The following is a 27,166-nucleotide window of genomic DNA, read 5'->3' on the forward strand; positions in this document are numbered from 1 at the left end:
GGTCCACTTCAGATGGCTGACTCACATTGCTTTGGCAGGAAGCCTCACTTCTCACCATGTGAACCTCTCAACGCATAAAGACGCAACAACCGCTATTCCTTAATGAATACATATTGTAGGCCTTGTACAAGCACTGCATTGGCATATTGGTCTTTTTTAAAAAGTCTTAAATGTAATGTTTTGTTTTTAAATGTAGGGTGTGTGTGTGTGTGTGTTTTCTCACCTCTGGCTGAACAGGTTTATATTTTTAAAGCATAAAATGAGTACTCAAATTATTCATTTTTAAAGATTATTTTTATCATGTACCTATGATATTCTCTGAGAACTGCTTGTGTATTTTGTACTACTATCTGATATTATTTGTTTATGGCTACTTTTGTGTATCTTAATTTGCTTCCTGCTCTGATTTTATGAAAGCATAAAAGAATCTGAGTTTATTAATCTCAAATAGGTTGGGAATGTCTGGCAACCAGATGCAATAGAAGTTCTTCAACAACTGCTTTCAAAGAGACAGGTGGACATTCACATTATGGTAATTTAAAGTATATATAGTTGTTATAAATTACTTGCCATAAAATATTATAATTAACATAATTTGAGGGATATTTTTGATGATAAGCAATGGTATATACCTTCTTATGTGAATTGCTTGTTAGCATAAAAGAAACTACCAGTTTGGTTCCTGCGCCTGCTTTAAATAAGCCTGCTTTTGAACAAGTTCCTGAGAACTTTCATAACCATTAAAGTCACTAATTTGAAAGATTCTTTATTAACAGCTTGTTTTGTTACAGGGAGCAGTATTAAATTGTTGGACATGTTTATAATTATATGTAGCAGTTTCCAAGATGGTGCTGAACACTCAGCACTGTCTCGGGTCCAGGTAATTCTGGGAGTCTATCATGATCTGTGTCCTCAAAGCCCTTATCTGGTTAGTGAAACAAGGCAAAAACCTAAAACATTTGCACTACAAAGTAACATGCCAAGAGCTAAGTGACTGGTAAAAAGAGTAAATGTAATAGGAATTTAGAGATGGTGAGAATTGAGGTAGCCCTTGTAATGTTCTCCTGACTGGGGAAATGAAATGCACAAAGGTACAGAGAGACATTTTAGGGAAATGGTGTAACTGTTTGACTTGAACAGTGGAGGTTTGGTGAAGAGTAGTGGTAGTGAATAGCATTCAGGAGAGGTAGGGGCCGGTTGGTGGGGTTGGTAGGGAGAGCCTCAGTGGAGGTTTCTGAGCAGTGAGGTAATAAGATCAACCTGCAGCTGCTATGTTTGCAGGGCCTGAATGGGAAGATATATGGTAAGGAAAGTATTTCTGTATTAAAGGATGATGATAGAGTGATAAAAACCTAAAGGAGGCACACACTCACTTACATAAGAAAGTGGCTTTTGTTAGTACTAAGAGTCCCTCCCTAGTTACTTAGTCTCCATGGCAAGTCACTGAAATATGGTAGAGATTGAAATTTTTAGTTTGTCTAGACAGCTTTCACTGCTTCTTCGCTTAATTGACACAGAAGAATAGCTTGTGGTATAGCAAAGGCTGCCAGGTGTCTCAGAGACCACGAATGTGCATGCCACACAACCCAGCCGACAGCAGGCCTTGCCCAGACTCACTCCTCTCCCTTGTACGCAAAGGGAGATGCTGACAGAGGGCCTCTTAGGTGCTAGCCTCTGCTCTAGGCCTGGACACACAGCTGGGGGCTGAGCAGTAGGAAATCCCTGCCTTTCTAGAGCTTCCATTTCAGTGGTGGGAAAGAGAAAATAAACTATGAGGAGTATTAGATTAGATAAGAGAGAGGCTGATAGGAATGGCATGGCCAGGGAGGAGGTTCCACTTTAAACATGCATCTGGGAAGACGTCGCTGCAAAGGTAACATTTGAGTCAACACCTTAAAATGGTTAGAGGACAGACCACACGGGTGCAGGGAGATGAGTGCTGAGGCAGGAGCAGGGCTAGGAGGGAGGGGACTGCATTGGCAGAAGAGGGAATGGTAAGAAGAGATAGGACAAGATCTGCTGGGAGGCAGCAACAGTAATTCAGTGAGGAGCAGTAAAACAGTGAGGAGCAGTGAGTTTGGACAAAGGTGGGATCAGTGGAAATGAAGAGAATTGCTGTAGGTCAGCTTATCAGTTAGGGACACATTCAGCACCCAATAACTGTAAGTGAACTTTATTCAGAGTTTTAAAGTTACCATGATTCCTGCTTTTAGACTGTTTCGAGTCCCACCAATTTTGGATTTTTAAATGAAACTTTATTTCTTCACCTCTGAACGTAACCTTTTCTTTCTCTTTGTACGTAGTGTAATTTATTAGTATCATCTAAAGGTGATGTATTTGGGAATTGGAATTATATATAACTAGTTATTTTGTGGTAAATAACTAGAAAACTCTATGAACTTGAAAGTGTATATTACATAAACCAAAGTAGTAGAATTACTCCCTTATAGCGCGTCAAAATACCAGGAAGAAAATTCTATGAAATGAGTCACTAGCCAAACTGTCTAGTTAATACTATGATTGTCAGAAGCTAAATTTGATATTTGCTGACTATAAAAATGTCATCAAGTGGAGTTTATTTTTATGATTATCTTTATTGAACTTTAAATAGGAGTTACCTAAAAATCCATGGGAGAAATTGTCTATTCACCTCTATTTTGATGGAATGTCACTTTCTTATTTTATGGCATACTATAAATACTGTACTTCTGAACATACTGAGGAGATGTTGAAAGAAGTAAGTGCACTATTTTTCTATAAAAATCTAAAGTGTAGAAAAGTCTAGTTAAAATGTCACATTTTGTCTTACACTGTGTCTTAAATATGATTCTACATATCTGATCTATTAAGAGAGTCTAGAGGACTTACACATTTTTGCTGAGAAAGATGAATAGGCTGTGTCATGCATTATAAATGTCCTGTAAAAGACTTTAATTACATTAAGATTCAATTAATGTTTCTGTACCTTCAAACCTAGTGCGATGCCCATGCTATTCAGTGTTGTTTGAATTAGAGATGCACATTCTAAAATCTTTATAGAATTCAGTACCAGCAGAGGGCTCTTGCTCCAGATAAAATATTTTTTCCTTTTACTTGACACAAAAGCCGTGTATTACAAAATTTCTCTCATTTGCCTTCTCACAGGAAACCCAGAGTCACATTTTGAGCTTAGCTTCCATAAGTGGCTCATTCCTTGCCTGGTGCTTCTGTGGTTTAGTACTTTAAAAAATATAGCCTGTTACAAGATATGGTTTCACATTTCAAGCTGCTATAAATCTTTTATAGGAGTAGATTATGCATCATTATATTTTATATCACAAGATATTTTTATTTCTAGAGTTGCAGTCTACTTGTTAGACTCTTTAATATTCATTTTGGTGGTAGTACACAACCAAACATTGTTCTATGGATAAAGAAAACTACTTTCTTCTCTCAAATAGAAATCGTGCTATAACTTTGTTCCTGTAATCCTCACTGCCAGCTTTTTCTTTAAAGCAGAGGTGTGGTTGTTGTGGGTGAGTGGGGGTGTGTGTGTGTGTAAAAGAAGTTACGTCTGTTATTAAACACGTTTTATAAAGATTACTTAGTCTTTCTGTTCTAGTTGTACTATTCACTGTGAACATTTTAAAGGGAAAGGTAAGAACTCCCACTCTTATAATAAATGAATTAGCTTTGACATGTGTTAACATGTATTTGAGGTTTCTTATTGTTGAAAACTTATGGTGAGATTATTCAGAACATTAGATTTTCCTGTAATTGATCTGAAATAAATAAATGAATACCAACAAGGAAATGCACCCAGTTTTTGTGGGGATGAAATATGGAAAGTACCTTAAAACAATATAGCTAAAGGTGATTTTACTCAATACCATATTATTTCAGAAACCAAGATCAGATCATGATAAAAAGTATGAAGAGGAACAATGGGAAATAAGGTTTGAGGTAAGTAACAATCCAAGTATTTTGGAAACTTTGGACACTTCATTAATAAAAAGGATCTGATACAGGACAGAAAGCTCTCTTTTATAACAGTTTTATTATTTATATATCATAGAATTTACCTATTGAATATACAGTTCAGTGTTGTTTAATATCGTTCACTGTTTTGTAACCATCACCACTATTTCCAGAACATTTCATCACCCCCAAAAGAAGCCCTGTACCAGCAGCAGTCATTCTGCATTCTTCCTTCCCTAGCTTCATGACAGCCACTTCTGTCCCTATGGATTTGCTTATCCTGTGCATGTCATATAAATGGAATCATACACTATGTGGTCCTTTGTCGCTGGCTTTTCACTTAGCATAACATTTTCAAGGTTCATACATGTTGTATATATATCAGTGCTTCACTTCTTTTTGTTGCTGAATAAAATTCCATTGTATGGATGTATTTTGTTTACCCATTCATCTGTTGATAGACACATGGGTTGTTTCCACCTTATGGTGGTTGCGAGTAATGCTGCTGTCTGATCAGGTACAAGTTTTTATGTAGACATGTTTTCCCTTCTTTAGGGTATACACCTAGTAGTGGAATTACTGAGTCTGTGGTAACTATGTTTAACATTCTAAAGATCTCCAAGACTGTTTCCCAAAGTGGCAGCATCATTTTACATGTATGTCAGTAGTGTGTGTGCAAGGACCCCATTTTTTCCATCTCCTCACCAGATTACTACTTGTATTCTGTTTTTCTAGCCATTTTAGGATAGGCATGAAGTGGCATATCACTGTAGACTTGATATGCTTGTCCTGGTGATTAGTATTGTTGAGCATCTTTTCATGTGCCTATTGGATATATATATATATTTTGAGAAATCCCTTCAAATCTATTTGAGTTATTTATCTTTTTATTGTTGAGCTATAACAGTTCTTTATGCATGCAAGTACCTTATCAAATATATGATTGCAAATATTTTCTTTTATTCTGTGGGTTGTCTTTTCACATTAATGGATTTGAGAGTGTCTCGCTATATTGCCCAGGCTGGTCTTGAACTCCGGGGCTCAAGCAGCCCTCTTGCCTTTTTGCAGAGTAGCTGGAACTAAAGGCATGGACCACCACATCCAGCTTTCTTTTCACTTTTTTGATAGTGTCCTTTTAAGTACCAAAGTTTTTAATTTTGATGAAGTCCAATTTATCTGTTTTTTTTCTTTTGTCACTTGGACTTTTTGGTGTAGGAAGAGTTTTAGTACATAAACCTTTGTAATTTATGAAAATAACATAACCTTATTGTAAATTGCCTGTTACTTAAGTTCAACAAATTTCAACAGTGGCTGATCACTTTTTGCTGAATTTTCCTAGGTTCAAACTTTTTTTTTGTCTACCAGTTTGAAATGTTAAATAGTAATAAATTAACCTACAAATTTGAATATGATGGTTTTACTTAAGATAATTACCATATTCTTGAAGAATAAGAACTTTTTATAAAGATATTGCTTGTATTTGCAGAAAAACATGCACCACATTTTTATACACATTTGCTTTTAACAATTGCTGGGTGCCGTGATCTTCCTGGGAATCATGTAACTGTAGTATTCCTTTGCTTTCATATGGCTTAAGAGAAAGCACACCTTTTTGATGATTTTAACTTAAATTTTCTTTTAGCATTTCATGCATTATTTTAGTTTTTATTAGAAGTACTTATTCTTAAATACAGCAAAAATGTATAAAAGGAAAAAGGATCTGTTCCTCATTCTGCACCTCAAACACCCCAGCCCTCATTAGTGGCAGTTACTATTGACTATTCTTCTAGAATTGTATGTATATGTGTAGATAATATGCACATCAATAAACATTCATGCATTTTTTTGCACAAAATACTTTTTGAAATTAGAGGACAAAAGAATACTAAAGATCTTTGATTATCATCACATTTTGGTCCTACTGTAACAAAATCATTTTATGGTATTCAGTATTTAAGAGAGCTTGCTGGGGCCGGGCGCGGTGGCTCACGCCTCTAATCCCAGCACTTTGGGAGGCCGAGGCGGGCGGATCACGAGGTCAGGAGATCGAGACCATCCCGGCTAAAACGGTGAAACCCCGTCTCTACTAAAAATACAAAAAATTAGCCGGGCGTAGTGGCGGGCGCCTGTAGTCCCAGCTACTTGGGAGGCTGAGGCAGGAGAATGGCGTGAACCCGGGAGGCGGAGCTTGCAGTGAGCCGAGATCCCGCCACTGCACTCCAGCCTGGGCGACAGAGCGAGACTCCGTCTCAAAAAAAAAAAAAAAAAAAAAAAACTTGCTTTCTGCTAATTGAAAGGTAAATTGGCACCATCATGAATTTTTATAATGTAATAGATTTTTGTCCTTATTCTGAAATTTGAATTTTTCTGTGGTGTTTTAGGAATTGCTTTCGGCTGAAACAGACACTCCTCTTTTACCACCATATTTGTCTTCATCTCTGCCTTCCCCAGGAGAACTCTATGCTGTTCAAGTTAAGCACGTTGTCTCACCTAATGAAGTATGTGATCTAAATGATTAGTTGGTGATTAAAAATGTAACAAGCTGTCTTGGTCTTAAACACTATAAGTGACTCTTCACTTCTCTATTTTCCTGATTTCAAATGTTGCAAATTCGTGAACTCTAGTTTGCCCCACCCTATAATATCCTCTTCAGATATTTGTCAATGTTTAAGGCAAGTGTTTTTTAAGGACCTACTGGGTTCCTGGTGTTGTGCTGCTTTATTCAATGTTATGCTTACATCTGATATTTAGATTTTTAAGGTGGAACCGTTTCTACCTATGAAATCTTAAACATCTCGCTTCCCTTCCTCTTCCTGCACTGAACTCTTCCACTTAACCACCTGGCTGACACCGTGTTCCACTTACTATGTTTGTCTGCCTCCCCTTAGGGTATAGCTCCATGTTGTTCATTGAGGTATCCCCAGAACCTAGAATAGTGCCTGTTAAATACTAGGCACCCGGTGAATATTGATTGAATGTGTGAATAAAGGCACTAAAAGTTCAATTACATGTCCTTGGCTAACAAAGAGAGGAAGAAATAAGTAGCTTCAGCAGCTCCTTCAGCCTTTTACACAGTAAGCCATTCTCTCACAGGCAGGGGAAGGATTTGCTTTCTAATTTCATCAGAGAGCAGAGTAAGTAGCATGTTATGCTCTATATAGTTGCTAAACAACTATTGCTGGTTTTGGTAATTTTGCTTATTTATTGCTGTATCACAATTTACCCCTAAACTTAGCAGCTTAATACAAACACACATGAGGGTCAGGAATCTGGGAGCTGCTGAGTTAAGCACTCTAGCTCAGGCTCTCAGGAGGTTGCAATCATGATGTTGGCAGGGGCTGCAGAAACCACTTTCGAAAAGACTCACTCACATGGCACCACCTGGAAGGCTGTGTTTCCTGCCCGTGGCCTCTCCAGTTGTCTGCTTGCAGCATGGCTATGGCTTCCTGGCGCATGAAATCCCTGGCAGAGTTCTACCAAGACAGAAGCTACATGTCCTTGTAAGCCAGTCTCAGGAGTCACACACTGTCACTGCAGTTGTGGTTTTTTGTTTGTTTGTTTTTTGAGATAGGGGTCACGTTTTGTCATCCAGGCTGGAGAGTGCAGTGACATAAACATAGCTCACTGAAGCCTTAACTTCCCAGGCTCAACCATTCCTCCTGCCTCAGGCTCCCGAGCAGCTGGGCCCACAGGCATGTACTACCATGCCCAGCTAATTTTTTTTTTTTTTTTTTTTTTTTTGAGACGGAGTCTCGCTCTGTCGCCCAGGCTGGAGTGCAGTGGTGCAATCTCAGCTCACTGCAAGCTCCACTTCCCGGGTTCACACCATTCTCCCACCTCAGCCTCCAGAGTAGCTGGGACTACAGGCGGCTGCCACCACACGCGGCTAATTTTTGTTTTTGTATTTTTACTAGAGACGAGGTTTCACCGTGTTAGCCAGGATGGTCTCGATCTCCTGACCTTGTGAGTCACCCTGCCGCGGCCTCCAAAAGTGCTGGGATTACAGGTGTGAGCCACCGCGCCCGGCCTAATTTTTTTGATTTTTAGTAGAGATGAGGTCTAACTGTGTTGCTCAGGCTGGTCTTGAACTCATGAACTCAAGCGATCCTCCCACCTCAGCCTTCCAAAGTGCTGGGATTATAGGCATGAGCCTCCATGCCCAGCCTAATCATGTTCTCTTGATCACAAGATAAGTGTGGTAGGATGTGGGAAGGAATAGGAGGTGAATATCAGGAGGTGTAGGGGTCTCTGGGAGCATCGCTGGAGGCTGTCTGCTACAGTAATTTTGTCCACATACGTGAATTCTTGACATTCCAGAATCTGAAAGTTTTCCTTTCATTCTCCCCACTTAGGTGTATATTTGCCTTGATTCTATAGAAACTTCTAACCAGTCTAACCAGCATAGTGACACAGATGATAGTGGAGTCAGCGGGGAATCAGAATCCGAGAGCCTTGATGAAGCACTGCAGAGGGTTAATAAGAAGGTAGAGGCGCTTCCTCCTCTGACGGATTTTAGAACAGGTATACTTACTATATTTGAATGAAACAGGATACTTAATAAAACTTGGATTTTGTTTCAATGGGCTGATGACCTTGGGCTATCTCTAATGCTGATATTTTCCTCATATTCACTTTACATGCATGATTTCCTGTAATCCTCAAGATACCCAGAAGATGACTTCTTTCTCATTTTCTAGATAAGGAAGGTGAACTAAGAGACGCTAAGTAAACTCCCTTGGAGAACACTTTCACGTTCCACAAATAAGACAGCGTTGGAAAATTGCATAAAGATTATTTTCTAAGTTTGAGGTTATCAGTAGCTGAAATTGCAAGAGTTGTCATTCAGACCTTAATGGTCATCATTTAAATTACAAGCCACCTACAATTATAATCTTGAGGTGGAGGCTCAAAGTATGACCTGTTCTGTCAAGACAGGTCAGATTTCTACTCTTTTATCTTTTCAGTCCATTCTTCCCATCTTTATTAAATATGTGTGATTCTCCTCTGAGGAAAATGTATCTAGTTATTGCGGTATGTAATGCATAGAGATGTATTTATTCTTGATATTTTAGCAAAGGAAAAACACACATCAGCTTAATGTCTTACCTGTAGTCAGTGTTTTGTTTGTTTGTTTTTTGAGACAGAGTCTCGTTTTGTCGCCCAAGCTGGAGTGCAGTGACGTGATCTCGGCTCACTGCAACCTCCTGCTCCCAGGTTTAAGCGATTCTCCTGCCTCAGCCTCCCAAGTAGTTGGGATTACAGGTGCGTGCCACCACACCCAGCCAATTTTTGTATTTTTAGTAGAGATGGGGTTTCCCCATGTTAGCCAGGCTGGTGTCAAGCTCCTGACCTCAAGTGAACCGCCCACCTTGACCAAAATGCTGGGCTTATAGGCATGAGCCAACTTGCCCAGCCTTTTTTTTTTTTTTTTTGGAGATGAGTCTTGCTCTGTTGCCCAGGCTGGAGTGCAGTGGTGCAATCTCGTCTCACTGCAACCTCTGTCCCCTGGGTTCAAGCAGTTCTCTTGCCTCAGCATCCCGAATAGCTGTGATTATAGGCACGCGCCACCACGCCCAGCTAATTTTTGTATTTTTAGTAGAGACAGGGTTTCACTATCTTGGCCGGTCTGGTCTCGAATTCCTGACCTCGTGATCCACCCGCCTTGGCCTCCTGAAGTGCTGGGATTACAGGCGTGAGCCACCGTGCCCGGCCCAGATGAGATTCTTGTTTTATTGATGACTTTTTTTTTTTTTTTTTTTTTTTTTTGAAGACGGAGTTTCACTCTTGTTGCCCAGGCTGGAGTGCAATGGTGCAATCTTGGCTCACTGCAACCTTTGCCTCCCGGGTTCAAACGATTCTTCTGCCTCAGCCTCCCAAGTAGACAGGCATGCATCACCTCGCCTGTCTAATTTTGTATTTTTAGTAGAGACGGGATTTCTCCATGTTGGTCGGGCTGGTCTCGAACTCCTGACCTCAGATGATCTGCCCACCTCGGCCTCCCAAAGTGCTGGGATTACAGACGTGAGCCTCCGTGCCTAGCCCTGATGAGTTTATATATGCAAGAAATTGTCTATAACTCTTTAATTAAAATCGCTTGAAATAAAAATCTTTATTCATTAGTCAAGTATTTTAATGCCACTTGCCCACAAGTAGAATTCTCTGTGAAATTACACAGAAAGCATATGACATAAGGAAGTAGAACAAGATGGGAAACTGAGGCGCATGCCATCACTCTGAAATCTAAGGATGTACGAAGGGAAGTATATACCGTACTAATTTTTCCACCGTTTAACTCAAGCCTAGCACTCATTGGTACACTTTTTTTTTACTGAGTATTTGCTTGTATCAGGTACCGTGTTAGGAATACAAACATCAGTTCTGCACTCAAGAACAGGTGCTCTAAGCAGAGAAGAGACATGTAAACCAAGTAGAGTATGAAAAGAATAGCTCTTCTTAAAGGAGTGTGTGTAATGCCGTAGGATCACAGGGAAAACAGTGATCAGTTACTAGGGCTTTGTTGGTCATGTTGGAGCTGGGCTTTGAAAGAAGAATGATAACTGCTCAAGGTGATGAATACCCTAAAAACTGTCAGAATGTGTTCCCGATGTTTATGATAAACATCATAAAAAGAAGGGCTCAGGAAAACTTTAGATGAAGGGGGACAGCCATGAACTAAATAGAGGGATCAAAGTTTTAAGTAATCCTGTTTAGGTGACTCATTGAGGAAATGTGGTAGAAGTTGTTTGGGAGAACAGACAACTGAAGAAGCCTGTACATTGTAATAAGGACTTGATATTACAGGCAGTTAAGGTGTACCATTAAAGAATTTTAAATAAGAGCAATGTAATTGAATTTTTAAAAATTCAATTCTGGTAGTCCCATAGCAAATGAAAGGACAGAATGGAAGGCAGGAACAGCAAATATTTACATCCTTTGCCAAAGATGATGGCCCACGCTAGAAGAGACTAGGGGAGTATCAGAAGTTGGGGCAGTGGCAATATGAGCTAATAAGTCTTAGGAATACAAGAACTAGCAACTCTGGGAATGGGAGAAATGCCTTTCTTTGAAGCTTAATCCTTAGGAATTAGTGAACAAAGGCTTATAAAATATGAACAGAAAAAGAGAAGCCAACATAAGACCAACTGTTCAATATTTAATTCTGGATTGTGAGCCTATATTTGTTACATTTTCTTCTTTGTACTTTTCTGTATTAAACATTTTTTGATACATAATTGTGTATGTTTATGGGGTACATGTGATATTACCTGCATAGAATGTGTAATTATCAAGACAGTATTTAGGGTATTCATCACCTCGAGCAGTTATTTCTATGTGTTGGAAACATTTCAAGACTTCTAGTTAATCTGAAATATACAATCCATTGTTGTTAACTAGGCACCCTACTCTGCTCTCAAATATTAGAACTTATTCCTTCCAACTATATGTTTGTACCTATCAACCAACCTCTCTTCATCCCCCCACCCCAAACACATGTATATTTGCCTTTCATGGCCTCATGTAACTGAACCATTAATCTCCTTGTTATCTTCATGAGATCCACTTCTTTAGCTCTCATATGAGTGAGAACATGCGATATTTGTCTTTCTGTGCTTGTCTTATCTTAGTTAATATAATGATCCATCCATGTTGCTGCAAATAACAGGATTCCATTCTTTTTTATGGCCAAATAGTATTCCATTGTGTATATAATCACCACATTTTCTTTATCCATTCATCTGTTGATGGACACCTGGGTTGATTCCGTATCTTGGCTATTGTGAATAGTGCTGCAACAAACATGGGGTACAAGTAGCCCTTTGATATGCTGATTTCCTTTGGATTAAAAAAATTTAATGAAAGACAATATGATTTTTTCCCTTTTTCTGTCTTTCCAGAAATGCCTTGCCTTGCAGAATATGATGATGGCTTATGGTATAGAGCGAAGATTGTTGCCATTAAAGAATTTAATCCTTTATCTATCTTAGTACAATTTGTTGATTATGGATCAACTGCAAAGCTGACATTAAACAGGTTAAAAATAAATGTCGGGGTGTTGAATTAGATTTCTTTTTTTTTAAATAGTTTTCTTATTGAGAATATTTTTGCCTCTTTTAAAAGAAAAGGGTTATTCTAAGGCTGTTTATAAATTAGGAATTTTTTTCGTGTTAAAGTATACATAAAATTTACCATTGTAGCTTTTTTTTTTTTTTTAGATGAGTCTTGCTCTGTTGCCCAGGCTGGAGTGCAGTGGCGCAATCTTGGCTCACTGCAACCTCCGCCTCCCAGGTTCAAGTGATTCTCCTGCCTCAGCCTCCCTAGTAGTTGGAATTACAGGTGCCCGCCACCATCCCGGCTAATTTTTTTTGTATTTTTAGTAGAGATGGGGTTTCGCCATGTTGGCCAGGCTAGTCTCAAACTCCTGACCTCAGGTGATCCCCCCGCCTCAGCCTCCCAAAGTGCTGGGATTACAGGTGTCAGCCACCACACCTGGCCCATTTTAGTTATTTTTAGGTATAGTAACTAATTGGCATTAAATACATTCACAAGGTTATACAACTATCACCACTTTGCATTTGCAGAACAATTTTGTTATTCCAAACAGAAACCCTGCACCTGTTAAGTAATAGGATCACAGTCCATTCTCACCCAGTCCCTAGTAACCCATAGTCTACTGTCTCTGAACTTGCCTGTTCTGGGTACCTCATATAAGTAAATTCATACAGTATTTGTCCTTTTGTGTCTGGCTTATTTCAATAGCATAATTTTTAAAGATTCATTCATGTTGTAGCATGTGTCAGAATTTGCTCTTAAGGCTGAATAATATTCCTTATATATATGAGGGGTCTTCAAAAAGTTCATGGAAAATGCATACTATGAAAAAAACTGCATGGATTTCAAAATTTTTTCACCAAAATAAATTTGTACTAACTTGTTCTAACATGTCTGAACAGGATCTAGTTTGAGGCACTAAAAAGGATAAGTGCAACGTGAATTCTGCTCAAATTGAAACAACAACAAACATTAAATTTATGGTGAAGCTTGGGTGGAGGAATGGTGATATCATTTTTGCTTTATAAAATGTTTATGGAAATAATGCCCCAAAGAAAGCAGTTTACAAATGGATAGCTTGTTTTATGAAGGGATAAGATGATGTTGAAGATGAAGCCCATAGCAGTAGTCCTTCCCCATCAATTTGTGAGGAAAAAAAAATTAATCTTGTTCATGCCCTAATTGAAGAGGACTGACAACAGCAGAAATAATAGCCACCACCAAAGACATTTCAGTTGGTTCAGCTTATACAATGCTGACTGAAAGAGCTGAGCAAACTCTCCACTCAATGGGTGCCAAACCTGTTGGACCCAGATCAGCTGCAGATAGGAGCACAGCTTTCAATGGAAACTGTAGACAAGCAAGATCAAGACCCTGAAGCATTTCTTCAAAGAACTGTAATTGCAGAGGAAGCATGACTTTCCCAGTGTGATCCTAAAGGCAGAGCATAGTGAAAGCAAGAGGCGGAAGTGGTCCAGTCAAAAGTGGACCAGCCAAGAGCAAAGGTCACGGCAACAATTTTTTTACGATGCTCAAGGCATTTTGCTTGCCGGCTTTCTGGAAAGCCAAAGAATGACAACATCTTCTTCTTTTGAGTGTTTGAGAAAGTTAGCGGAAGCTTTAGCAGGAAAACGCCTGGGAAAGCTTCACCAGAGAGTCCTTCACCACCACAGTGCTCCTGCTCATTCCTCTCATCAAACAAGAGCAATTTTGCAAGAGTTTTACCTAAATCATTAGGCATCCACTTTACAGTTCTGATTTGGCCCTTTCTAACTTGTTTTTTGTTTCCTAATCTTACAAAGTATTTAAAGGGCGCCCATTTTTGTCCAGTTAATAATGTAAGAAAGATCACATTGACATGGTTATATTCCCAGGACCCTCAGTTCTTAAGGGATGGAATAAAGGGTTGTTACCATAGCTTACAAATGTGTCATGATCTTGATGGAACTTATGTTGAGAAATAAAGTTTACATTTTTTATTTTCATCTTAATTTCATTTTTCCATGAACTTTTTGAAGCCCCCTCATACAGTATATACTACATCTTATTTATCCCTTCCCTGGAAGGTGGAACTTGGGTTGCTCCCCGCTTTTGGGTCTTGTGAATAATGCTTCTGCGAACACGGGTATACATTTATCTCTTTGAGTACCTTCTTTCAATTATTTTGGGTATATACCCAGAAATGGAACTGCTGGATCATATGGTCTATGCTTAATTTTTGAGGAACCTCCATGCTGTTTCCCATAGTGGCTGCGCCATTTTACATTCTCACTAAGAGTGCGCAAAGGTTCCAATTCCTGCATATCCTCACCAGCACTTGTAATTTTGTTGTGTTATAATAGCCATTCTAGTAGGTGTGAGGTGGAGTCTCACTTTGGATTTGACTTGCATTTCCCTAATGATTAGTGACGTGGAACATCCTGTCATGTGCTTGTTGGTCATTTGTAGATCTTTAGAGTAATGTCCGTGTTTATGTGTATTTTCTCCCATTCTGTAGGTTGCCTTTTTGTTCCGTTGTGTCCTTTGATACACAGAAGTTAATTTTTTTAGGAAGTCCATTTTATCTGATTTTTCTCATTTTATCTGATTTTTCTCATGCTTTTGGTGTCGTATCCAAAAAAATCACTGCAAAATCCAATGTTATGAAGCGTTTCCCCTATGTTTTCTTCTAAGAATTGGATAGTTTCAGCCGGAAGAGAATTTTAATGTAAGAATTTCTTTTGTGACAGACTGTGCCAAATTCCTTCTCATCTTATGCGGTATCCAGCTCGAGCCATAAAGGTTCTCTTGGCAGGGTTTAAACCTCCCTTAAGGGATCTAGGGGAGACAAGAATACCATATTGTCCCAAATGGAGCATGGAGGCACTGTGGGCTATGATAGACTGTCTTCAAGGAAAACAACTCTATGCTGTGTCCATGGTAAGTGTCTCAAGTAGCCAAAATTATTGTAAAGCTATTTCTGTGTCGATACTTTGTAAAGTGTTTGTTTCTATGCAGCGTCTACATGCGAGAGTATACTAAAGCATATACAGCTATATAGGATATAGTTTATATGTATAGCTTTATATATACATATAAAGCTTAATTTTGAGGCTTGTTAAAATGTCTTAGTTTATATTTAACAAACTGCTTACCCCTGTGGTGATATAAAATATCATTTATGTAATTAATAAAATGCTCAAGATGAGTATCCCATAATTAACTTATAATGGGGAAACAAATATGCAAACAAGTATGAGGTTGAATGAAATAAGTACTATAACAGAGCTATAGCTAACTTTGTGGGTGGGGGAAGCGTAAGAAGAAATGATTATTTGCATCTGGAGAGGACAGGAAAGGGTGTTTGAGCTGCTACTTAGAAGCCACTCAAGTATTTAATTGAATAAGTAAAACAGGAATGTGGCATTTCACCTGCATCCTAAAAGAAGAGTGGGAAAGAAAGAATGGTAGTTCTGCTCATTATAGAAAGGCTTGAATTATGCTAATTGTACTAATCTCATAATTGTACTACTTATTTGATGTAGTAGAACCTGTGTCAAAAGGTCAACTAAAAAACTCCAGACTGCATTTAATGTAAATGTTTTCTTCTTAGGCTCAGCATGTCACAGTAGCCCACAGGCAGAATCTGGCCTGTACCTTGTTTTATTTAGCACACAGTGTTTTAAAGTTGGAAATTTTACCCAAAAAGTCTGTATTTCTGGCCCTGATTAGATATTCTAAAAACTAGGAATCCTGGGTCTCCCCATCCCTCTGAAATGGCAGTCAGCTGAAAGTGTAGCCACAGCCCCTTAGATAGGAACATGTGATGTTCAGTTCACCTAGTCCTCACTGCTGGTGTGCAGCTCAGCCTGCTTCCCTCCTTTGTGATTCCTGCCTGGTGCCATGATTTGGGGATTCCTGACACACTGGCTATGACAAAAATGAGCTCATAATCAGTCAGCATGGTTCCTGGAAAGTGCTTTTTGAAAACCTGTGTATATATGCTATTGCATGTGCAGAGTGGTATGAATAGCTCATACAGGGTTTCTCTCAACCCAGTGAAAAAAGGGCAAGTATTTCTTATAGATAGGTATTTTTTCACTTCTCTAATATTCAGAATTTTGTCAGTATATAAGGATAAGCAGAACCATAGGATATATGAGAGGATTTATTACGGGAATTGGCTCACACAGTCAAAGGTGAAGTCCTATGATAGCTGTCTGCAAGCTGGAGAACCAGAGAAGCTGGTAGCGTGGCTCAGTCTGGAGGCCTCAGAACTAGGGAAGCTGACAATGCAGCTGCTAGTCCAAGGCCAAAGAGCCCCTGGGAGGTCACTGGTGCAAGTTCTACAGTCCAAAAACCAAAGAATCTGGAGGCTGATGTCTGAGGGCAAGAGGAGAAAAGGTGTCCCCCACTTAGGAAGGAAAGGAGAGCAGAGAACCCCCTTTCTGCCTGTCTCCCAGCCAGCTGGATGTCCCCTGCCCACATAGAGAGTGGGTCTTCCTCTCTGTCCACTGATTTAGCATCAGTCTCCTCTGAAAACACCCTCACAGACACACCTAGAAATGCTTCACCAGCCATTGAGGCATCCCTCAATCCAGCCAAGTTAACAACTAATATTAACCATCACAGTCAGTTTATGCATAAAGGTATAATGCTTTGTGTGGAATGCAAATGAACTGTAACAAGGGATGGTGGTGACAAAGCCCACTGGCTTCATTTAGGAAGACCTTGTGAGAAGGAATTTAAAGAGAGCAGAAGAATGGAAAGAATGGGATTTTGCAGGAAACCACTACAGATGCCTTTTGGAAGCATAGAGCATAAATTATCAATAGGCCCCTGAGAACACCTTTTCACACCCGTGTGAATGGCCAGATATGAGAGGGAAAAGGCAGCAAAGACATTACTGTTTTCTTGACAACTGTATCTTTTAATTTTAGGCTCCAGCACCAGAACAGATAGTGACATTATATGACGATGAACAGCATCCAGTTCATATGCCGTTGGTAGAAATGGGGCTTGCAGATAAAGATGAATAAGTGCCTAAGTGTAAGTTCTCATTCTCTTCATAGCATAAGGCATGGGACTAGTGGAGATGAATGCTAGATTGATCAGAAAAGCACCCGTGGATTTTCCTTGATTTCTCAAAGGAATGACAGCAACGCTCCACCAGATTTCTTCATAGGCCCTTCTCACCTATTCAGCACTAGTATCAAAGAGGTCCCCTATCTGTAAGGATGCCTGGATGGGCTGTCATGACTCTGACAGTACCAGGGTACATAGGGAGAGCAGGAGAGAGTGGCCACTGTAAATAATTTTAAGCACATAAATATCTGCTAAGCACATAGAACTACTGAGCAGTCACCATCCTCATACCACGTACTTACATGGGTAGCCAGCTAACTTTTTATCTTGTCCATAAGAAATGATTCAGCTAGATTGAACATTTACATTAAGCAAAGGTTTAAAATAACACATTTTATTTTTCAGGTATACAGTGAGAGCATCTATAGAAGCCTAGAAGAATTCTGTTATGTTTAGACTATGTCTTATCTTTAGACTATTTCAGGCTTAATTTTCCTAACTTGTTCAGCACTAGTGCTTTACCTCTCATTTTTAATTGAACTGTTAGGAATTGTGTGGGGAAAAAAAGTAAATAAATGTTCGCTTCCAAACATTTGCTTGTTTCATTTTACCACAATTTCAAAATGAAATAGCTAAGACACATGAAAAAAAATTTAGTTCATTTTATACCTAATGATTCAACTTAAGACATTAGTACAAAAAGGCTTCTCCCAAACACATTCCCCCTGCCTTCTGTAGAAGTGTATTAGTCTCTTCTTATACTGCTATAAAGAACTGCCTGCGACTGGTTAATTTAGAAAGGAAAGAGGTTTAATTGACTCAGTTCCACATGGCTGGGGAGGCCTCAGGAAACCTACAAACATGGGGGAAGGGGAAGCAAGTCACCTTCTTCACAAGGTGGCAGGAGGGAGAAATGCAAAGGGGGGAAACGCCCCTTATAAAACCATCAGATCTTGTGAGAACTCACTAGCATGAGAACAGCCTGGGGAAACCACCCCCGTGATCTGATCACCTCCCACGAGGTCCCTCCTCCAACACATTGGGATTACAATTCGAGATTTTGGGTGGGAACACAGCCAAAGCATATTAAGAGGTGAACACTACTGTTATGATTTGGTGTTTATCATTCATATAAATGTCTTTATAGTTTTACTACATATGAATGCATCCATAAATGACATGGTATTTTTTAATGTATCTGCTGTCACACAATTTTTATTTTCTATTTTATTTGCTCTTTAATCCATGTTGGTATGTATAACTCTATTCACTTTTACTGCTATATCTGTGTACATAATTTATCCTGATATTCCATTACCAGTTTTTTTCTCATAAATGTTCCTCTTTAGGAGCCTTGTATACATGAGCGGCTTTCTAGTACATATACATAGTGATGGAATTTGCTGGGCCATGGGGTTGCTTTTTGACTTTTACAATTATTTCACAACTACTTTTTTGCTTTCTAAACAGTAATTCTACCAATTTATCCCACCACCAGTTGTCTGAGTTCCTTGCCAGCACTTGGTGTCGCCAGACTTTTGCCAGACTGTGATATTAGTAAGAAAAGGTATCTCATCAGTGCATATCTCATTGAATATGCATTCACTGGTTTATTAGCTAGTGACCATTCCGTCACTTGTTTATTGCTTGTTCAAATAGTTTGTCCATTTTTCTATTGAGTTATTTGCAATTTTCTTACTGATTTGTAGAAACAATGTATTCTAGTCATCCTTGATCAGTTGTTTGTCTTCTAATTTGGGGCTTGCCTTTCCCCTGTTTTGTAATATCATCATTTGACAGAAATGTTCGTTCATTTATCAACATTTTTTTTTTTTTCCTTTGAGACAGAGTCCCACTCAGGCTGGAGTGCAGTGGCATGGTCTCAGCTCACTGCAACCTCTGCCTCCTGAGTTCAAGCGATTGTCCTACCTCCCAAGTAGCTGGGATTACAGGCATGCACCACCACACCTGGCTAACTTTTGTATTTTTAGTAGAGACGGGGTTTCATCATGTTGGCCAGGCTGGTCTCGAACTCCTGACCTCAAGTGATCTGCCAACTTTGGCCTCCCAAAGTGCTGGGATTACAGGTGTGAGCCACCATGCCTGGCCTATCAACCTTTTCCTTTAAGGTTTGTGTTTTTTGTCTCATTTAAAAATCCTTACCTCTCCTGAGATATCTCTAGAATATATCATCTATGTATCTGTAGATATCTATATATAGGTATATTCTAGAGATATCTCAGGAGAGGTAAGGATATATAGATATATCTATCTAGATTACATAGCTATCTATAATCTAGAGATATATCTAGATAGATATATCTAGATAACCTATATATATCTATCTAGATTATAGATATCTATATAGATTATCTAGGTATACAGATATATCTATCTAGATTATCTAGATCACTTGAGGTCAGGAGTTTGAGACCAGCCTGGCCAACATGGTGAAACCCCGTCTCTATATATCTAGATATCTATCTATATAGATACATCTATATAGATATATAGATACATCTATATAGATATATAGATACATCTATATAGATATATAGATACATCTATATAGATATATAGATACATCTATATAGATATATAGATACATCTATATAGATATATAGATACATCTAGATATATAGATACATCTAGATATATAGATACATCTATATAGATATATAGATACATCTATATAGATATATAGATACATCTATATAGATATATAGATACATCTATATAGATATATAGATACATCTATATATATAGATACATCTATATAGATATATAGATACATCTATATAGATAGATACATCTATATAGATAGATACATCTATATAGATAGATACATCTATATAGATATATAGATACATCTATATAGATAGATATAGATACATCTATATAGATAGATATATAGATACATCTATATATAGATACATCTGTACTTATATTCTTCAAAAAGTTTTATTTTTCATATTCAGTTAAGTCACCTGGAATTGATAGATTTCATTAACAAAACCTGATTCATAGTATATGTGACAGGTAAGGTCTATCTAGACCAATCTGTAATTATTTATTATATAAATTTACAAGTAAGTAAGTAAGTGACTTGCCCATCCTTCAGGGACATCTTGCTTCCATGAGGCTACAGTAATCTCACTGTGGTAACATCAGGGTAGCTGTGGTCCATGGGTTAACACTGGCTAGTCATCGTTCATGCCCCCCTCCACTCTCAAGTATCCCATTTTGAGACATTACATTACAAAGTCAGCCTTGTTATAACTGCTTTCTCTTCACCATGATTACTACCTGTTGTGTGTGACCTATTTATATTCATCCACTGTTGTAACTTCCCATTCTGTTATAATAATTAATGATCCTCTGTAGAAGATCAAATGGTCTAATTTTGGTACTAACTGAACATAGTAATATTTTGGCTACAGAGACACGTGTTTACTCCTTGAGTACACCTTCTGTACAAGTCCAGTGCTCTACGGCTGATGTGTCTGTGGGACATCTAGGTGATGTACTTCCTGTACTTCTTGGTTTTTTTTTATAGCCATTTCTAACCAATAAACACACCCACTTACTGTAAAAACCTGTACACAATTTCTAAACAGTCAAAATGCTTTCCTTAGTCTATTGAAAGACAGGGTAGTGAATTATAAATGAGAGCTATCATTGCATTTCAAAGAATATAAAAATGAAGATGCCACAGGGTAAACTTTTATTTTAGAATCTAATCTTTTCCCCACACATACACAATAAATTAAACAGAATCCACAGTAAATGTACATTTTTTAACATAAAAAGTCAGTTACTGTTACTTCATGATCACATGAGGATCGTCACAGCTCCGTGTCCATTAGCACATTACCCTCCTTGTCCTTAACTCTTATCCGACCGGATCTGTACTTCGTTTCTTGATGACCGTTTGCATATACGGTTTTAACAGTGCCATCTGGGTATTCCCGTCTCTTGAACTGGGCAGTATGTAGTTCTCTTTGGCCATTATTAAACTCTATGAGTTTGTTGCCATCACTGTAAAATTTAAAAAAAATATGATTTCTTAAAAAAAAAATAATAGAAAATAAACAACAGAAAAACTACTGAAAAGTAGCCTTTTGAGTCTGGCAGCTACTTCTGGAGACATCCCTTGGTTATCCCTATACAATTGTAACTTTCTACAGTGTTTCTGCTTCATGGTGATAGTTCCAATTATCAGATTAGCATTGTTTTAATCATTCATATTTTCATCACAAAATGCTTAGTAACTTTTTTCAACTTGTGTTCTTCCTTTTGGTTGTTATATTAAAAGGGACCCTTCTTTCACTAATTTAAAAACCATCTGAGTGTTTGTTTGCTCTGTATCAGGTGGGGAAGAGAGTTAGTTATTCCTGGGAAGGGGCATGATCAGACTTAAAAATCTGTTTTGAAAGAATGGAACAAAAAAGGAGAATGTGAAAAATAATTCACATCAAGTTGACTGACATGCCTGTGGGACATTCATTCAAACTGAACCCCCTAATATGGGTGTCACATATCATCAGAAACGCAAGGCTGGGGCACCTTCTGAGCACAGATGAACAGGTGTCACACTGAGTGGTTTTTCTGTGAACATAATGTTGCCATACCGTTGTACTCTGACAATTGTACCATCTGGGAAAATGCTTTCTTCTTGTCCATCAGGAAATAAGTTTTTAACAGTCTGGTCAGGAAACGTGATTTCTTTTCTTCCATCTGGGTAATGTTTTTCTGTTTAAAAAGTTGTTACAGTAAATATTTTTTGAAGGAAGGGAAGAATTTAATGAGAGGGTGGAGCAAGTTTGTACCTATTTGTCCACTTGAGAAATGTAAGACTTCCAGTCCCTCCGGGTATGTCGTGTGAGTGGTCTGGGCAGCTGCATAGTAGTAGATCTGTAAAGACACACAGTCAGTCTGCCTTTTCTCCAGAGATGGTTAAACTATGGAGGAGAACACCTCTGGAAACATACCACTCTTTGGTCTGGCATGACCTGCTTCACGTCACCATTAAAGAAAGTGACAGTGATGGTCTTCCCATCTGCACTCACTTCCTTTCGAGTTCCATTGGGAAACAGTATAACACGGCACCCATTCTTATAAACCTTTTCCACCTAAAAAACCAACACAAGATTATCACCTAAGATTTTCTCCTGACGAAAGTATGGCTAATTCTCCTCCCAACTGCCTACTTTGAAATTTTTTGTAATAAAATGTAAAACATTCCCTCAAAAGATCCTTTATTTCGTGAGGAGTAGCAAACTCGTGATTTTCTAATTTTCTCATTCCTTTTCCATGTATTAGCTGGAATTTACCTAAAAAAGAAAACCTTCCCTTATCAACAATTTGTTACCCTAAAGTAGACTTTGTACAGGAAAGTCTAACTACTGCTTTGCCTGTTGTTCTTTGTCCTTCTCTCATTCCTCAAGGATAGCACTCCAACCCTATAATTTCAATAGAAATGGACCAGATTAGGTATTCGAAAAGTAAATTTTCCATAAACCTGAGGAAAAAATTCCCTCATCACCTCTAACCTGTATATATCCCTTTCTTCCTCATTCCCTTTAGCTGGAACCCCCAGGCAGTTTTCCCACTAAGAAACTTTCCTAAGCATAAGAATAAAACTGTGCTAGCTGGAGATGAGGAGAGAGGTCCCTGACTCAGGATCAGTATAAGAAAGGCTGCAAGAAAGGAAGACCTAGAATGAACAGAAGCTTTTAAGAAGTGCCAAGGATTACAAAGGCTTTGGAGTAAGAACAAAGATCATACAGAGATTGTATGCCGCCTTTTGCTGAATCTCTGAACGAGAAATGGCAACTAAAGGCATCTTGTCCAAAGAGCCCTTATTTTAGATTCTATGTGTTTCAACTATTTTAACCCATGTTTATTTTTTATAGAATTCATTATTTCAAAAACATTTTTTAACCTTTCCATCAGGATGACTGATTTCTCCCTGTATGTCTTGGTCTTCCTCCTCCTCTTTATATTCAGGATCTGGGAAGTTCAGTGGTTCAAGTGGCTCCCTGGGAGAGGCAGCCTGTAAGCACAACACATTTCAAGCAGCTAAAACCTACTCTTACTTCCAAAGCCAGATTCTGATATAGGGTTCTAGGACTAGTGTTTACAAAATATAACATTTATAATGTTAAGTAAAAACTCTTTTTTACACGTGGTTTAGAAACGTTAAGTCTATTAACAAATTGATTTCAAGCCTAAGTAATGTATGTTTGAAGAATATATAAAAACAGAGATTTACTTGTCCCTTATCCAAATTGCCTAAATCACGAGGAGGTGCAGACTTGGATCTTCGAGGTGGATTGCCTATTAGAATAAAATTGTCAAGAGTTAGATTTAATATTTAATTGAAAATTTTATTAGTATGATCACACATTTCCTTAGTTCATATCCTGTGAACTGCTGTCCTTTATCCATTAGTTAAGGATGTCTTAATATTTTTCTTTACTAATTTGTAGTTCTCCGACACAGGTACTTAAGTCCTAGATGTCCAAGAAAGACAGTATCTTGTCTCAGAGTTTACAATCCTGGGGAAGAGACAGGTGATGAAACAGCCTGACAGACCCAAATGTATTTCAGAGACAATCACAAGGTGTAAGGTGCAGATAAAAGAGGCATCTAAGACCTGTGGAATTTGGCTTCACCAAATAACTGGGTATTTAGTTAAAACATAAATGCCCTTGTGGCTATGGTATAAACTTTTTGTAATATGTCCAGCACACCAATCACATACTGTACCAGCAACATATACATTACAAAATAAACACGCCCCCACCAACAACAAAGTGAGGTGAATCTCTCTCTAAAAATACACTGAAGTGCCAGTATTTTCATCCTATGTGCCAATGGATCATATTGTAAACACTCAACTTGGAAGGGTCTCGAGCAAGTGCCAGAATCTGACCTCCATGTTAAAAAGTGTAACAGAGCTGGATGTTACGGGAGAATGGCCTGAAGGAGGAGAGCGGAGGCAGGTGGTCAGCCAACAAGCTGCTGGGCGTGTGAGGCGGCTGTGCTGTGCCTGTGAGACAGGAATGGTTCCATTACACCATGGGAAATCACTGATTTATAGGTCCCAAACTGCCACACATCAGCAATTTCATATGATTCAATGTAACTAATAGATCCAGAAAATAACATCAGAGGGATCAGTCTAGGGACTACTGGGAGTGGATGGTGAAGGATAACAGAAAAAGTACTGGGAGTACACAGGGGTTTAGGCTTGAGCAAAGGGGCAGATGGCAGACAAGGCTCTGGGGATAGCAGGAGTGCTCTGTTTGGGATGACACAAGAATGTCATGCTTCACCCCCACAGGTTATGTGTGCAAACTAAACTATAACTAAAGCTGTGTGACATCATTTCTCATAACCACCTTTAGAGAAAAGACTAGAATATTATTCCCATTTTATGGCAAGAAAACCAAGGCTAAGTGGTTAAATAACCTACTAAGGTTGTCAACTAATAAAAGGCAGAACCAGGATTCAAACCCACTATATATCAAGTTTAATTCTTCCCAGGCTGATTATGAACTAACATTAACTTGAACCCCCAAAGTATCTACCAACTGGGCAGGATAACGAGAGGTGACCGTGGGCATAGACAGGCTCCAGGTGCAAGCACACTGTCTAGAGGACTGTGTGAACCCACCTTAAAAATACCTACAACAGGAAAACTGGGGACAGTGGAAGCTAGGGAATACACAGTGCTGGAATAGCTGGGTAGATACTAGGGGAGGGATGTTTATGACCCCAAGATAGGGAAAGAATTAAGAAGCACTGCCCAAAGGGAAAAACTGAAATTGAACTACTTTAAGAATTTAGGTTCATCAAAAGATACTATAAAGAGCAAAAAGACAAGCCATGAACTAGGAGAAGATACTGATTTGCAATTTATGTAGATTATAAGTATACCACTTATACCAGGGGGCCCCAAACCCCACGGTATACTGGTCTGTGGCCTGTAGGAACTGGGCCACACAGCAGGAGATGAGCAGCGGGTGGGCGAGCCAGCGAAGCTTCATCTGTATTTACAGCAGCTCCCCATCACTCGCATTACCACCTGAGCTCCACCTCCTGTCAGATCAGCAGTGGCATTAGATTCTCATAGGAGCAAGAACCCTATTGTGAACTGCATATGCGAGGGATCCAGGTTGCACGCTCCTTAGAGTATCTAATGCCTGATGATCTGTCACTGTCTCCCATCACCCCCAGATGGGACCATCTAATTGCAGGAAAACAAGCTCAGGGCTCCCCCTGATTCTACATTATGGTGAGTTGTATAATTATTTCATTATACATTACAATGTAATAATATTAGAATTAAAGTGCACAATAAATTTAATGTGGTGCTGAATCATCCCAAAGCCATGCCCCTTACCCCAGTCCATGGAAAAATTGTCTTCCACAAAATTGGTCCCTGATGCCAAAAAGGTTGGGGACTGCTAAGGTATACTACCAAAGTGAGCACATGCTGTTGGAAAAATGGCACCAACAGACTTGCTCAGTGCAGAGTTGCTGCAAGTCTTCTGTCTCCAAAAACCACAGTTTGTGTGAGGCGCAGTAAAGCAGAGCATGAGAAAATGAGAGTGCCATCAAGAAAAGCCACGGGCTCCACAGAGGGCAGTTCCGGGCTGCCACTCATCTATGTCTTTACGTAGGTGGTGGTAACCCGAGTATTTGCTTTCTAATTGTCAAACTGCATATATCTTTACTAAATTTATTTCACAAAAATAATTTTTTAAAATTCCAGATTAAAAACTCAAGATGTGAATGCAAAAGCGCATAGAAGAAAATGGTGTACTTGTGGCCTGAGGATTGAGAAGAATTAAAGTCATGAAAACCAAAAACTATTTTAAAAGACTAGTAAATTCAACATTACAAGGAAAAACATACATTAAAAAAAACACAAACTGAAAAGCCAAACCCAGATTGGGAGAAAATATTAGCAGTGCTTGTAACTGACAAAGGATTACTATGCGGAATATTTTATAAGGAGAAACACACACACACACATCCAAAATTTTAAATGGACAAAGGAAATGAACAGGCAGTTCACAAAAGGGGAACCTCAAATGCTGACTAAATGTAAGAAAACATGCTCACAGGGCCTTACCAGCTCACGGAATCAACCACCATTTTACATCAACTGGCCAAAATGTTAAAGTCTGGCCAGATCAAGTGTTTGCAAGTATGAAGAGCATACTCTGCTGACAGTAAAAAAAACTGGTACAACCATGTTGCAGAGCAAAGGGAAAACCTCCAGCTGACATGGCCTGGCATCTTACTCTTCATATATATCCTAGAGAAGCCACAGGATCAAGACACGCTCTGCAGCCCTATTCATTATCATGCAAACCTAATTGCCCATCACCAGGAATGCTGAACTGTGGAAGTATACAATGCAATCTACATAGCTATTAAAATCAATCAACTGGAGGTTTTATGTGTTAAGATTGGTAAGTCATACAGTATTGAAAGAAAAAAATTGCAGAAGGACACACAGAATATGAAACAATACTACAGGGTGAGTGTCCCTTATCAGAAATGCTTGGGAGCAGTATTGCAGATCTCCATTTTTTTTTCAAGTTTTGGAATATTTGCAAATACTTATTGGTTGAGCATCCTTAATCCACATTCAAAATGCTCCAATGAATGTTTCCTTTGAGCATCATGCTTGCCCTCAAAAAGTTTCAGATTTGGGATGCTCGACCAGTATAACAATTTATGAACGCAACAAGGTAAAATAATTTAAAACCGAAGCATGGACCATTATCAGGGTAGAAATTAACTGGCGGAATAAGATGATGCACAGGAGCTTCAATTACATTTATTAATTCAAATTCATTCAAATGTTCAAAAACATTTATTAAGAAATGTTTTATTAAGTTGGGTATAAATTGTTTATTCCTTACATTCTGAAATGTTTTATAAAAAGATCATGCAGCCTCTTACCTTGCATTGGAAGATAATTTTTCTTGTATTTTTCTACCTGGGTTCCTGAAGAAATCTGACTGTTTTGAAATCGAACAGATGTGTTCTATAGTATAAGAGATAATTTTTTATT

At 38.6% G+C, this 27,166-nt stretch overlaps 2 protein-coding genes across 24 annotated transcripts in view; one reads left to right on the forward strand and one right to left on the reverse strand.

Moving 5' to 3' along the window:
- RNF17 (ring finger protein 17) overlaps positions 1 to 26,320 on the forward strand; it is a 140,815-nt gene extending 114,495 nt beyond the window's left edge. For 15 of the 17 annotated variants that reach the window (XM_011535152.3, XM_011535157.3, XM_011535159.3 and 12 more), the window contains 9 exons: positions 452 to 532; positions 2,612 to 2,737; positions 3,883 to 3,942; positions 6,339 to 6,455; positions 8,310 to 8,478; positions 11,853 to 11,988; positions 14,736 to 14,925; positions 16,926 to 17,034; positions 17,476 to 17,660. In XM_011535152.3, the coding sequence (XP_011533454.1) occupies positions 452 to 532; positions 2,612 to 2,737; positions 3,883 to 3,942; positions 6,339 to 6,455; positions 8,310 to 8,478; positions 11,853 to 11,988; positions 14,736 to 14,925; positions 16,926 to 17,024 (978 nt within the window). In that variant the 3' untranslated portion in view covers positions 17,025 to 17,034; positions 17,476 to 17,660. Of the gene's footprint in view, positions 1 to 451; positions 533 to 2,611; positions 2,738 to 3,882; positions 3,943 to 6,338; positions 6,456 to 8,309; positions 8,479 to 11,852; positions 11,989 to 14,735; positions 14,926 to 16,925; positions 17,035 to 17,475; positions 17,661 to 25,852 lie in introns of those variants that run through there. The other 2 variants (XM_011535156.3, XM_011535158.3) reach the window with 2 other exon arrangements.
- CPAP (centrosome assembly and centriole elongation protein) overlaps positions 20,018 to 27,166 on the reverse strand; it is a 51,722-nt gene continuing 44,573 nt past the window's right edge. For 2 of the 7 annotated variants that reach the window (XM_047430483.1, NM_018451.5), the window contains 7 exons: positions 27,055 to 27,139; positions 23,345 to 23,409; positions 23,015 to 23,125; positions 22,062 to 22,202; positions 21,900 to 21,984; positions 21,702 to 21,822; positions 20,018 to 21,108 (listed from right to left, as the gene is read on the reverse strand). In XM_047430483.1, coding sequence (XP_047286439.1) covers positions 20,916 to 21,108; positions 21,702 to 21,822; positions 21,900 to 21,984; positions 22,062 to 22,202; positions 23,015 to 23,125; positions 23,345 to 23,409; positions 27,055 to 27,139 — 801 coding nt within the window. In that variant the 3' untranslated portion in view covers positions 20,018 to 20,915. Of the gene's footprint in view, positions 21,109 to 21,701; positions 21,823 to 21,899; positions 21,985 to 22,061; positions 22,203 to 22,441; positions 22,533 to 23,014; positions 23,126 to 23,344; positions 23,410 to 23,438; positions 24,125 to 27,054; positions 27,140 to 27,166 lie in introns of those variants that run through there. The other 5 variants (NR_047594.2, NR_047595.2, XR_941627.2 and 2 more) reach the window with 5 other exon arrangements.

Source organism: Homo sapiens, chromosome 13 (assembly GCF_000001405.40).
Source record: "Homo sapiens chromosome 13, GRCh38.p14 Primary Assembly".
Classification (NCBI taxonomy): Eukaryota; Metazoa; Chordata; class Mammalia; order Primates; family Hominidae; genus Homo; species Homo sapiens.